Here is a 13,422-nt window from a genome sequence, read left to right on the forward strand (position 1 = left end):
TGCCCTCGGGACACACAGCGAACAGTGATCATGAAAACAGTGGGCTCAATAATTTTCCATAAACTTGCTCAAGATTCCATGCAGTTGCCATACAGCCTTTGAGGTATGGTCAACCTATAGTAAGTTAGTAAATGATAAGGGGAGGAAGAAATGGAAACCTAAACATCTACTGCAATGAAAACCAACAGCAATGTCAGTAGGAGTAATTCAACCTTCGTTGAAAACATGAAATTGAACACACTCTTGTTTTCCCTGGACCTGGCATCTCCAGGTGTCAACACAGAATTAAGCATCCGTAATTGCTCAAAGTTACCTGGGGCATGATGGGTCTTGGTCTTCTTCCACTTCTTGGTACTTTTCAATTTCTGCAATAAGTTCAGACATGGACAGACATATTAAGCTGGTTCTCCTACACACATAACAATCCACTGTCTAATCCTCACACAGGGACTTCAGGCTCCTCAGCATGAGAATAGGACACTGTGAGAGATATTCTTCAGGAGGCCTGAAGGCTGATCACCATAGAGATTCCTTGGTTTTTGTCCCAGAAACTGTGGGTAAAATTCCCTATTCTGGTAGATCGTTATCCCAATATCATTTGTCCCAAGTTTGTGCAAATGGCTATGCCATATTTTTCCAATTGATTTAAAGCAAATGCCCCCAAATAGTTGCTAGGAGAAAAACTGCACTATTCAGCCCTGTCTCATCAAATACTCAGATTGTTCATGGTAGCGAGGATTTTAGACGCTGAAATTAGAGTGAAGGATGAAATCTACAGGATCTACAAAATTGAGACGAAATCAGAGTTGTGTGAATTTGTCACATCTGCCCAGATTCAACATCTTGAGAGTAGGATTAGGGCGCCACAGGCATGGCCTGAGACTAGGAAGAGAGCCCTGCTCACTGACCCATCCCTTGTCTGGGCTTCCAAGTGGAACTAGAGTTTCATTCAACCTACATGTGCCTATAGGTCCTCCCTGTGACAATGACATCTCTCAGCTCAGTAAGGGCCACTTGCAGTAGGAATATGACCCTAACCAGAAGACTCAGTGGATCCTTATCACCTTCATAGAAAGGTACTCACCATCCATGTCAACAGCCAAGCCAACACGCTGTTGCTCCAATACGTAAAAGGCACTTCTGTAGGGCTGGCATGAGTCAGTCAGTTCAAGACAACCTGAAGGAGTTGAATAACATCTATCCAGTGAGTCCTGCAAGACTTCAGGCTCTTTCTCATCCAGCAGCTCCCTGCTGAGCCTGGAAAAGTGGGAAAAAGTAAAGAATAAGCCAGGGGGAATCAGAAACCACACAGCCCCAGCTAGATTACATGGCTAACATAAGGAAGAGTTTGAAAAGAAAAAGGACAGATCCATTAATGAGGTAACAAATTATTGCCTTTATGTTGGGATAGACTAGGGCCAGGTAGAAAAGGATGAAAGAGAAAGACACACACACATACACACATACACACACACACACACACACACACACACACACACACACAGAGTGGGCTCAGTGAATTGGCCAGGTGACACACTGATCAGGGATTCAAAGGACACTCTGTATTTGTGCTCTCAGGACACACAGTGAACAGTGATCATGAAAAGCATGGCCTCAATAATTTTGCATAAAATTTGCTCAAGTTTCCCTGCAGTCACCATGAGAATACAGCTTTTGAGGTATGGTCAACCTTCACTAGGTTAGTAAATGATAAGGGTAGGAAGAAATGGAAACCTAAACATGTACTCTAATGAGAACCAAAAAGCAATGTTAGTAGGCATAATTCAGACTTGTCTGTCAAGATGAAATTATTATTTTCAGCATGTACTGTTTTCCCTGGACTTGGCATCTCCAGGTGTCAACATCAAATTAACTGTCCACAATTTCTCAGACTCGCCTCGGACCTGTTGCCTCTTGGTCCTCCTTTTTCACTTGATCCCACCGATATCCTGCAAATAAATTCAGATGGGGCCTCTTACATTAAGCAGTTCTTCCTTGCACACGGAAACATTCCTCTGTCCAATCCTAACACAGGGACATCAGTCTTGTCAGTGTGAGAACAGGAGACTTTGAGAGAAATATTCCAGTAGGCCTGAGGTCAAGTCTTGAGAAAACTGGCTTGAGTTCTTTCATGAGCCTTGGGCAAAATTACCCTGTTTTGGAATGTTATCTTCCCTATGTGCTCTGTCCTAGGTTTGTGTACACAAATGAGCAATTTCTTCCCCAATAAATTGTAGGCAAATAGTTCTAACACCTCATAGGAGAGATACTTCAATATTAAGCTTTCTCTCATCAAATACCCAGAATTTGATAGTTTATGAGATTGTGGACACAGAGATTTGATGAAGGGGTGCAATGTACCAGCTCTTGAGTCAAAATGAAACTTGGTTCTACACAGAAGCATCAGCTATTATGGCTTTTGTGGGTGAAAAGTCAGCCATTTATCTAGAAAACATACCAGGAACATGACGGACAGATGAGCTAAAACAAGCGAACTTAGAAGACACAGAAAATGGGGATAAATTCAGTGAAACCTGGATCACATCTTTCACTGAGAGGTAGACAAGGGTGACACTGGCCTTGGGCAGGTAAAGAACCACACAGACATGCTTTGGGAACAAAACTCATAAGGAATTTTGTAGCTGGCAAGAGACATTTAATTCAGATGAGCTGAGCTGACAGACAACTCCTGGGCATGTGCTGCATAGTTTGGTGTGAGTTTGCCACACCTGCCTTGAGTTCAATGTCGTGACAGTCAGTCCAGGTTGGCACAGGCATGGCCTGAGACTAGGAAGAGAGCAAAGCTCACTGACCCACCCCATGCCTGTGCTTCAGACTCGACTCTAGAGTGATTGAAATCTACATTGATATATAGGTTCAGCCCACAGTGATGGCAACTCTCAGCCCAACCAGGGGCACAAGGCACAAAGATTATGGGGTCTACCTGGGCCATGAACTGGAGCTTTATCACCTTCACAATGGAGTACTCACTGCCTATGTCAACAGCCATGCAGACTTGCTGTTCCTCTAATGAGTGAAATGTGCTGCTGTAAGACTTGTACGAGGCCAACATTTCAGGAGGAATTGAGAGAGTCGAATAACCTTCATCCCAGGACTCTTGGGGGACTTCCTCCTCTTCAGACTCCTGCAGATTCCTGATGAGCCAGGCAGGACAGGGATGATAGAAGATTTAACCAACAGAGATTAGACAACAAAACCTCCCAGATGATCTGATGGGAGACAGAATGGAGTGGTCACAGAAACCAAAGGCATTTTTCCTTCAAGAGAAATAAAACTATCCTTCTAAATGCAGGGTGGAGGGTGACTGCTCTGGGGACACAGCAAAAATGGGCAGCATGTGCTCAGTACTTTTGCCACAGATGAGCCAACTCAGGGCACCCAGACTCTCCCTGTAAACTACCATCAAGACTTGCAGCACAGAGAACTGACACAGGGCTTCAACTACTTTGCATAAATTGGGTTGAATTTTACATGCAGCATTCAAGTGAAGAGAGTTCTTGACGCAGTGCAGACACAGATCTTGTGTATTAAGGGCCCCATTTTCCCAATATTTTGATATAATATATTTACTTTTTCAATTTCTTTTCTTGCAAAAATACTAGCCAACATTCTACCAACAAATGGGAAGAAAGCATATATACATCTCTCCCTGGATTTAAACACATGGGAGAGAATAGGCGACACCAAGAAATCACTGTTTGAGGGTCTGGAGTGGACTTCCAGCAAACTCCAACAGACCTGAAGCTGAGGGACCTGACTGTTAGAAGGAAAACTAACACACAGAAAGGAATAGCATCAACATCAACAAAAAAGACATCCACCCCAAAACCCCATCTGTAGGTCACCATCATCAAAGACCAAGGGTAGATAAAACCACAAAGGTGGGGAGAAACCAGAGCACAAAAGCTGAAAATTCCAAAAACCTGACATCCCTTCTCCTCCAAAGGATCGCAGCTCCTCGCCAGCAATGGAACAAAGCAGGATGGAGAATGACTTTGATGAGCTGACAGAAGTAGGCTTCAGAAAGTCGGTAATAACAAACTTCTCTGAGCTAAAGGAGGATGTGCGAACTCATCGCAAGGAAGCTAAAAACCTTGAAAAAAGATTAGACGAATGGCTAACCAGAATGAACAGTGTAGAGAAGACCTTAAATGACCTGATGGAGCTGAAAACCATGGCACGAGAACTACGTGATGCATGCACAAGCTTCAGTAGCCAATTCGATCAAGTGCAAGAAACGGTATCAGTGATTCAAGATCAAATTAGTGAAATGAAGCGAGAAGAGAAGTTTAGAGAAAAAAGAGTAAAAAGAAATGAACAAGCCTCCAATAAATATGGGACTATGTGGAAAGACCAAATCTACGTTTGATTGGTGTACTGAAAGTGACGGGGAGAATGGAACCAAGCTGGGAAACATTCTTCAGGATATTATCCAGGAGGACTTCCCCAACCTAGCAAGGAAGGCCAACATTCAAATTCAGGAAACACAGAGAACACCATAAAGATACTCCTCGAGAAGAGCAACCCCAGGACACATAATTATCAGATTCACCAAGGTTGAAATGACGGAAAAAATGCTAAGGGCAGCCAGAGAGAAAGGTCGGATTACCCACAAAGGGAAGCCCATCAGACTAGCAGCAGATCTCTTGGCACAAACCCTACAAGCCAGAAGAGAGTGGGAGCAATATTCAACATTCTTTTTTTTTCCATATGTATAGTTTTCCTTTATTATTTTCTGTGTGTATGTATATATATATATATATGTATTTTTAATACTTTAAGTCTTAGGGTACATGTGCACAACGTGCAGGTTAGTTACATATGTATACATGTCCACATTGGTGTGCTTCACCCATTAACTCATCATTTAACATTAGGTATATCTCCTAATGCTACCCCTCCTCCCTCCCCCCACCCTACAACAGGCCCCAGTGTGTGATGTTCCCCTTCCTGTGTCCATGTGTTCTCATTGTTCAATTCCCACCTGTGAATAAGAACATGCGGTATTTGGTTTTTTGTCCTTGCAATAGTTTGCTGAGAATGATAGTTTCCAGCTTCATCCATGTCCCTACAAAGGACATGAACTCATCATTTTTTATAGCTGCATAGTATTCCATGGTGTATATGTGCCACATTTTCTTTATCCAGTCTATCATTGCTGGATATTTGGCTTGGTTCCAAGTCTTTGCTATTGTGAATAGTGCCACAATAAACATATGTGTGCATGTGTCTTTACAGCAGCATGATTTATAATCCTTTGGGTATACACCCAGTAGTGGGATGGCTGGGTCAAATGGTATTTCTAGTTCTAGATCCCTGAGGAATTGCCACACTGCCTTCTACAATCGTTGAACTAGTTTACAGTCCCACCAATGGTGTAAAAGTGTTCCTATTTCTCCACATCCTCTCCAGCACCTTCAACATTCTTAAAGAAAAGAATTTTCAACCCAGAATTTCATATCCAGCCAAACAAAGCTTCATAAGTGAAGGAGAAATAAATCCTTTACAGAGAAGCAAATGCTGAGAGATTTTGTCACCACCAGGCCTGCCCAAAAAGAGCTCCTAAAGGAAGCACTAAACATGGAAAGGAACAACCGGTACCAGCCACTGCAAAAACATGCCAAACTGTAAAGACCATTGACGCTAGGAAGAAACTGCATCAACTAACGGGCGAAATAACCAGCTAACATCATAACGACAGGATCAAATTCACACATAACCATATTAACCTTAAATGTAAAGGGGCTAAGTGCCCCAGTTAAAAAACCCAGAATGGCAAATTGGATAAAGAGTCAAGACCCATCAGTGTGCTGTACTCAGAAAACCCATCTCACATGCAGAGACACACATAGGCTCAAAATAAAGGGATGGAGGAAGATCTACCAAGCAAATGGAAAGCAAAAAAATGCAGCGGTTGCAATCCTAGTCTCTGATAAAACAGACTTTAAACCAACATATATCAAAAGAGACAAAGAAGGCCACTACATAATGGTAAAGGGATCAATTCAACAAGAAGAGTTAACTATCCTAAATATATATGCACCCTATACAGGAGCACCCAGATTCATAAAGCAAGTCCTGAGAGACCTACAAAGAGATTTAGACTCCACACAATCATAATGGGAGACTTTAACACCCCACTGTCAATATTAGACAGATCAATGAGACAGAAGCTTAACAAGGATATCCAGGACTTGAACTCAGCTCTCCACCAAGCAGACCTAAAAGACATCTACAGAACTCTCCACCCCAAATCAACAGAATATACATTCTTCTCAGCATCACATCACACTTATTCCAAAATTGACCACATAGTTGGAGGTAAAGCACTCGTCAGCAAATGTAAAAGAATGGAAATCACAACAAACTGTCAGACCACAGTGCAATCAAATTAGAACTCAGGATTAAGAAACTCACTCAAAACCGCACAACTACATGGAAACTCAACAACCTGCTCCTGAATGACTACTGGGAAAATAACAAAATGAAGGCAGAAATAAAGATGTTCTTTGAAACCAATGAGAACAAAGAAACATACCAGAATCTCTGGGACACATTTAAAGCAATGTGTAGAGAGAAAATTATAGCACTAAATGCCCACAAGAGAAAGCAGAAAAGATCTAAAATTTACATCCTAACATCACAATTAAAACAACTAGAGAAGCAAAGCAAACAAATTCAAAAGCTAGCAGAAGACAAGAAGTAACTAAGATCAGAGCAGAACTAAAGGAGATAGAGACACAAAAAACCCTTCAAAAAATCAATGAATCCAGGGCTGGTTTTTTGAAAAGATCAACAAGAAAACCCTGTTTGGCTAGCTCACCTGGCTCATCTGATGGCAAGTTCCTATCTTGAGAGGACTATGAAATTAAAACCAATACAAGTGCCACAAATAACATACAACATTGTAAATCAGCACAATTTGTAGCTGGGTGAATGGAAGAAATAGTTCTATTCATCACTTCCTCATTTTCCCTAAATCTACAATCTCCAGATGTCACTACTGAATTAACAGCCAACAATTCCACAACATTACCTGGGAGACACTGGCCCTTTTTCTTCCTCTTCCTCATCATCACTTTCATTTTCTGTAAATAAATTCAGAGAAGCAGGTCACATTAAGCAATTCATACTTCACATATGAACAAATCACTGTCCAGTCATAGCACAAGGACATAACTATTCTCAGTGCAAGAATAAGGATTCTGACAGGAATATTCTAGGGTGCCCTAGATTAACTTTGGTGAGAATTAGATGACCCTGCTTTCCAGACCCACAGGCCAAAATCTCCCTCTACGTGTAGACCATAATGCCATATTCCCTGCCTGAGTCAAAGTTAAACAAAATTTTTTCCCCAAAAAAATCTCCAAAAATTGGTCAAACAATTTTCTAAGAGTGTTGCTGCAATACGGACTTATATCACCAGGTAACATGGACATTAAATGTTTAGAGGCTCTATACATGGAACACGACTGATAGATAAATTTGAACAACTCTTGCTTTAAAAAGAATCTGTGATTTGGGAGGCCAAGACAGGTGAATCATTTGAGGTCATGAGTTCAGGACTACCCTGGCCAATATGGGGAAACCCTGTCTCTACTAAAAATACAAAAATTAGCCAGATGTGATGTTGTGCACCTGTGGTCCCAGCAACTCAGGAGGCTGAGGCAGGAGAATCACTTGAATCTGGGAGGCAGAGGTTGCACCAAGCCAAGATGGTGCCACTGCACTCCAGCCTAGGTGACAGAGCAGGACTCCATCGCAAAAAAAAAAAAAAAAAAATCTACGATGCTACAAAGAAACATTGGATCAGCCATTGCATTGACAGGGTGGAGAACCAGGGTCCAGCCTTGCTTTATGGAAATATATCAGCAAAGTAAAGAAGAAAAGTTTCCGTCCTGATTTCAGGGTGACTGTGCAGCTAAGCAAGCTGACTTGAAGGAGATCCAGATGAAAGCTGAGAGCAGTGAAGCCTGGGGAACAATATTTCCAAATACAAAGGCAAGGCTGCCAGCTTCCTTAAACAGGCATAGAAACTCCATGGACATTGTTCAGGGACAGATGACTTAATCACAGATGACAAGAGATACTGAATCGAAGCTAGGAGCCCTGAGAGATACTGCCTGTGCACCTCCTGCACTCAGGTGACTATGAGATTGTCACACTTGCCTGGGGTCGAGTAACTTGATACTGGGGACTGGCAGACAAAGGCATGACATTAGCTGAGAAGGACAAACAAACTCCCTGATATCTGTTTAGAAACCCATCACAGTTTTTTATTCAAATGAATTTGTGTTTATAGAGCCTGTCTTCAGAGTTTATCTTCCTCAGCCTAGAGAGAGGTATGAGACACAAGGAAAACAGAGGCTACCTGGGATAATGTGTACAGCATCCTCCCATTCAACATGAGGGGATGAGCCAATGAGAGTTGAGTCGACTTTGTCTTCCTCAAATGTGATTTTGGTTTTCCTATGTGGCTGGTTGGAGTCATAAGGGCCATGGCTATTTGAACAAGTGATGGCACATTCCTCCAGTGAGTCCTCAGGGACTTCCTTTTCTTCAGCCTTCTGCATCTCCCTGATGAGCCAGGTGGGACAGAGATGACAGAAGATTAAACACAGAGGGATTGGACCCCAGGGAGTCCTAGCTGGCTTTGACAGGCGGCATTAAGAGAGTGGTCCCAGAAAGCAAAATGGAGGTTCCCATTAAGAGGGAACATGCAATCCTGTTCTCTCTGCAACAGAGCATGGCTGCCATGGGAACCAGAGAGGAAGAGAGCAGCTGCTGTTCATTGCACTGGACAGATAGGAGCTGAGGAGGATGAAGACTCAGCTATCCCTGTACGGTGCAGACATGACACTCGGCACACATAGAGAAACATGACAGCTGCTGCACCCTGTGTCTAAGCTGGGTTATATTTCACATACTGTGGCCAAGCGAATGCGGGTTTTTGGCCCATCATACATGCCAGAGAGGGTGTGCCTCCTAGATATTCTTCATATGTTACCATCCATTAATTGTTCCTGAGTATTCAGTGTTACCTGGGGGCAGACGATTTCTGCACTTTCTCAGCCACCTCAACTTGAACATCTTCATCGTCATCGTTATCATTTTCTGTAAATACAGAAGTGTTCATTCAGATATTTCCCACTTCACAGTCTGCAAGCACAGTCAGCCCAATGTGCAACAGAGACATGAACACCTAGGCATGGGTCACCGTTCAACTGAAAACTCTCATGTTTTATCTTTAACAGAATGCCCTGGCATGGTTTCCTGGTCCATCGGGCAATGCGTTTCTGATCTGGAAGGCCACCATCAAGATGTGGCCAAATATTGAAAAGACCTTTTGCTTCCCATATCACTGGAGGCTTGTGCAGCCTCTCTCTGGACTTTGGCAGCTGTCTCCCCAATCCTGCCACAGATCTGATTCCCAGGAACAGGCTTGGTGTCCTGTCACAGTTCGCATTTCAAACCTCATTCTTTCTCTTAGGAGAGGACAAACTTGTCCCACAGTCCTCTATGCGTCATGAGACTGCACAGGCCCTCCATGTGGCTTCTGCTGTGTTATTCAGGGACATTCTATCCATGGGGAGTGCTCCAGTCTGAAGCACTTCCTACCACCAAATGACCCCACATCAAGTGCCTTCTCCAACACCACATGGAGAGGGGCTTCATCTCATTTTGAAAAGCATTCATAAGTGTTCCCATATTTGGATGCTTCAGACCCTTGCAAGAGACAATTTGTCTGCCTTTGCAGATGGAGAGAGAGAAACTCTGGAAAGATAAATCACTCACTCACCGACACTTACTAAGAACATTGCCAAAAAGACAGCCTGGGAACCTTCATTCTTAGCCCAGAGCTCTTTTCACTCCAACAAGCGCCCTCCCATCACAGCCTCCTTCCTGTCCTTTAAAACTAGATAGATGCTGCCTCTTGCTCCAAAGACCACCTTCCATCAAGGAAGGAGGGACACTTGCAATACTGTGATCTCCAAACCCATGGGTTTCCCATTTCTGTTCTTACCCAGGAAGTCCTGATCATGTCATGGCTACATATGTGTAGTAGAAAAAAACCCCACTGATACAACTGTCATTGTGAAAGTATGGAGGTCTGGAGCCTCTCATAAGCCTGGGGTTTTGGGTCATCAGGGCCTATGGCCACCTTACCTGGGCTGAGCTTTTGGACAAGGTGCTGTGCCAGTCTACACCCCTCAGCCAGCTGTTCTTGGAGGTCCTGCCCCTGGGACTTTTCTGGCTCATCCGGAGTGAGGAGGGCCTGGAGATGCTGATTCAATGAGCGGGAGGCATCTCTCCCTTCCCGTAACTTCTCCCTTAACTGGGTCAGCTCTCATTCCTGAGAGTGAACCAGGACTTTATATTGCCTAAGGTGAGACGGTAGAGAAAATTTAACAGTGAAAAGCGTTGAGTGATCCGTTCAAATATTGCAACAGAGATTTCTGAGACAACGTTCCCAAGGAGACCTTCAAGCAGAAGGTCAGCACATGTTGAAAGGAATGTCTGTGGCCAAGAGAAAGAACAGAAAATGGTCTACAGGCTTTCCCTGTATCAGAGAGGGCTCCTGCAAGATCCTCGATGATGTTCCATTCATCTTTCTCTTCTGTAAACAAAAGTAGGTGTCTTCCTAATTCTGTTTCAAAAAGACATCCTTTCAGTTCCTCACTCTGGCCATGGACATTTCCATGTGAAAATACACATAGTGCATCTTGCGGCCACTAGATACAAAGCCATGTACAGAAATGAGGCCAGATGCAGATGGGGCGAATTGAAAAGACGAAAGAAGAAAAGAATGACAGGGTCGAGAAGGCAACATTGATTGAGTGAAACAATGAGAAGCCTCAGTCAGTCAGGAGGTGATTCTCACTAAGGGTAAGTGGGGTGGTGATGGCACACCATTTTGAGTATACTGAATGCTGCTGTGTGGTTCACACTCCTTTGGTTAATTTTGTGTTATGTAAATTTCACATCAACAATTACTTGTTTGAAAAAGAGAAAACAAGGCTCTGAGAAACAACTGCAACCCATACATTTTTATTATCCTTCTTCTCTGTTTGATAAATATTTGTGTGTAGCAAACCTGCCATGGCAATTCCTGCCCTTCTCCTGACCCAGCTTAGCTCTTACGTCTCCCCACCGAGCTACTGTACTTCAGAGATTTACACACCTGCCCCCCTGCCTGCCCCCATGGGGTCCCCTCACCTAAGCTCCTCAGCTTGCTTGAGCTGCTCTGCAAGCATCTCCTCCTTGAACTGTCGCTCATTCCTCAGCATAGATTTTATGAGGTCTTTGCACTCTTCATATTCTGAGAAAAGACAGACACGCCTGCATCAGTGCAAGGCTGGACATGCTGCTGTGGTCATTCCCTACAGGACAGGAGCCAGGTCCATCCCAAGGACAAAACTCTCCCCAGTACCAGGGTCTAGACAGGGATTTCCACATCTTTACTCTTCAGTCTCCTGACTTTCTGGCATCTGATCCTCCAAAATTTAGAGATGAAGAAAGAGAACCTCAAGGGCACATCAAGGAAGTTGACAAGATGATTCAACCACAACGAAGTGGAGTCAGAATTCTCAGCCCCTGAGGTCTGACTCTGAATTCGGGGCCACTTTCCCAAGACTTGCAGCCTCTCCTCTAAAACACTGCACTGGGGCATGAAGTAGTGATTTCTTGTACAGTCGGGAAGGCCCCTAGGACTATGGGACTGATGGTTTCCCTTTTACTGGGAATTTCAAGGACAAGTATGTGAAAGATTTTAAAAATCTTTGATTTTTAAATCATATTTTCAGTTATGATTTTAAGAATCATATCTGAAGCATAAAGTGTGAGACATAAGACCATAAGGCCATGAAGGAAATATGCCCAAATTCTTTATTAGTATGAGAGGCAGCATTAAGATTTAGATTCGTTGTGTTAATTTAGAAACAGCATAAGATTAGTTTGTGTTAATTTAGAAACATCAGAATGAAGAACTAATAGATAGTGTTTACACTGTGCCAATTAATGTTCAAGGAGATTGACAGGAAATACCTCATGTAATTCATTGCAGCAATTTACAGAGGTAGGTATTATTGTAGTACCCTCTGAACAGATGAGGAAACTGAGGGACAGACAAGACAAGCAACTTGGATGGAGCCCAGGAGACAGGCTGAGGGTCCCTGCTTTGCACACTGCACTGCTGCTTCCACACATTCTCGGGTGTGATCTTTCTTCCTCTTTAGGAACAAGAGCCTGTGCACCAGGAAGCAGGACTTCACTCTCACCAAGGTACTCTCTGCTTTTTATTTTTATTTTTGTTTTATTTATCTTTTTGTTTGTTTGTTTTTTGATGAGTCTTGCCCTGTCACCCATGCTGGAGTGCAATAGTGCAATCTTGGCTCACTGCAACATCTGCCTGCTGGGTTCAAAGGATTCTTCTGCCTCAGCCTCCCGATTAGTGGTGATTACAGTTGCCCGCCATGACGCCCATCTACTTTTTGTATTTTTAGTGGAGATGGGGTTTCTCCATGTTGCCCAGGCTAGTCTCAAACTCCTGACCTCGTGCTCTGCCCGCCTCAGCCTCCCAAAGTGCTGAGATTACAGGAGTGAGCCACATTGCACGGCCCCTACTCCCTGCTCTTGATGCTGTCACTTATAGATAGCACAGGTTCTATTAGGAGCAGACTCCTCTTGAAGCCCCTCAGAGCAGGTACTGGGTACTATCACCAAGTTCCCCTCAGAGTCACTAGAACACAGCTTTGCCTGTTGGGCCTCAACAGAAACTTGAACTGAATAAAATTTCACTAGTCCTAGACATTTAGAACAACAGACTACATGTTATTTGTCTGCAGGATCTTATAAGGTACAGAGAGGATTCTTGAAAACATGATTGAGCCTCTTGGAGAAAATAGGTCATTCTGTGCCTGTGTCAGAAATCAATAAATGGCAGTTTACCTCTAGTCCCACCCCCATCTGATTGCAAACATGGAAAGTTGCTAAATACTTTGGTACCTCTGTCTTCCAACTTTAACAAAATGTTAAAATACCCATTTCTGTTTTCCTAGAAGTACAGGAAGGATGAAATTCTTTTTGATGGAGAGAGCATTTAGTGTCTCAGAGAGAAGACAGGACATCATTCATCACTTTCATGATGGTGAGCCTATAGATCTTACTGTATTTCTTCTGTCGGTTGGCCAGGAAGCCGGCCAGTTGAGTTACAAAACATTTCTCTTTGAGGTTTCTGAACTGCTGTTTGTTCTCTGCCAGCTGGGGGCGCAATTTCTCGTTGATTTCTAGAATGTTCATCTCTGCCTTCTCGCTGGACCAAGGGCCGGCTGATACCACCATGCTGATGTTTGTGGCAGAAGAGGTGGAGTCAGGGACTGGGGAGAAGAAACCCAAACATAT

The 13,422-nt window shown here is 43.4% G+C and overlaps 1 pseudogene across 1 annotated transcript in view; it reads right to left on the reverse strand.

Annotated features, from left to right (window-relative positions):
- The window catches only part of NBPF25P (NBPF member 25, pseudogene), a 35,514-nt pseudogene that overhangs the window by 5,354 nt on the left and 16,738 nt on the right, over window positions 1–13,422 (reverse strand). Inside the window, exons 5-14 of the transcript NR_104217.1 lie at window positions 13,188–13,397; window positions 11,239–11,341; window positions 10,189–10,403; window positions 9,063–9,135; window positions 8,393–8,598; window positions 7,058–7,109; window positions 2,992–3,155; window positions 1,898–1,949; window positions 1,085–1,257; window positions 314–365 (exon numbers count right to left, since the gene is read on the reverse strand). The product of NR_104217.1 is annotated as an NBPF member 25, pseudogene (transcript). The remainder of the gene's footprint in view (window positions 1–313; window positions 366–1,084; window positions 1,258–1,897; window positions 1,950–2,991; window positions 3,156–7,057; window positions 7,110–8,392; window positions 8,599–9,062; window positions 9,136–10,188; window positions 10,404–11,238; window positions 11,342–13,187; window positions 13,398–13,422) is intronic.

Source organism: Homo sapiens, chromosome 1 (assembly GCF_000001405.40).
Source record: "Homo sapiens chromosome 1, GRCh38.p14 Primary Assembly".
Classification (NCBI taxonomy): domain Eukaryota; kingdom Metazoa; phylum Chordata; class Mammalia; order Primates; family Hominidae; genus Homo; species Homo sapiens.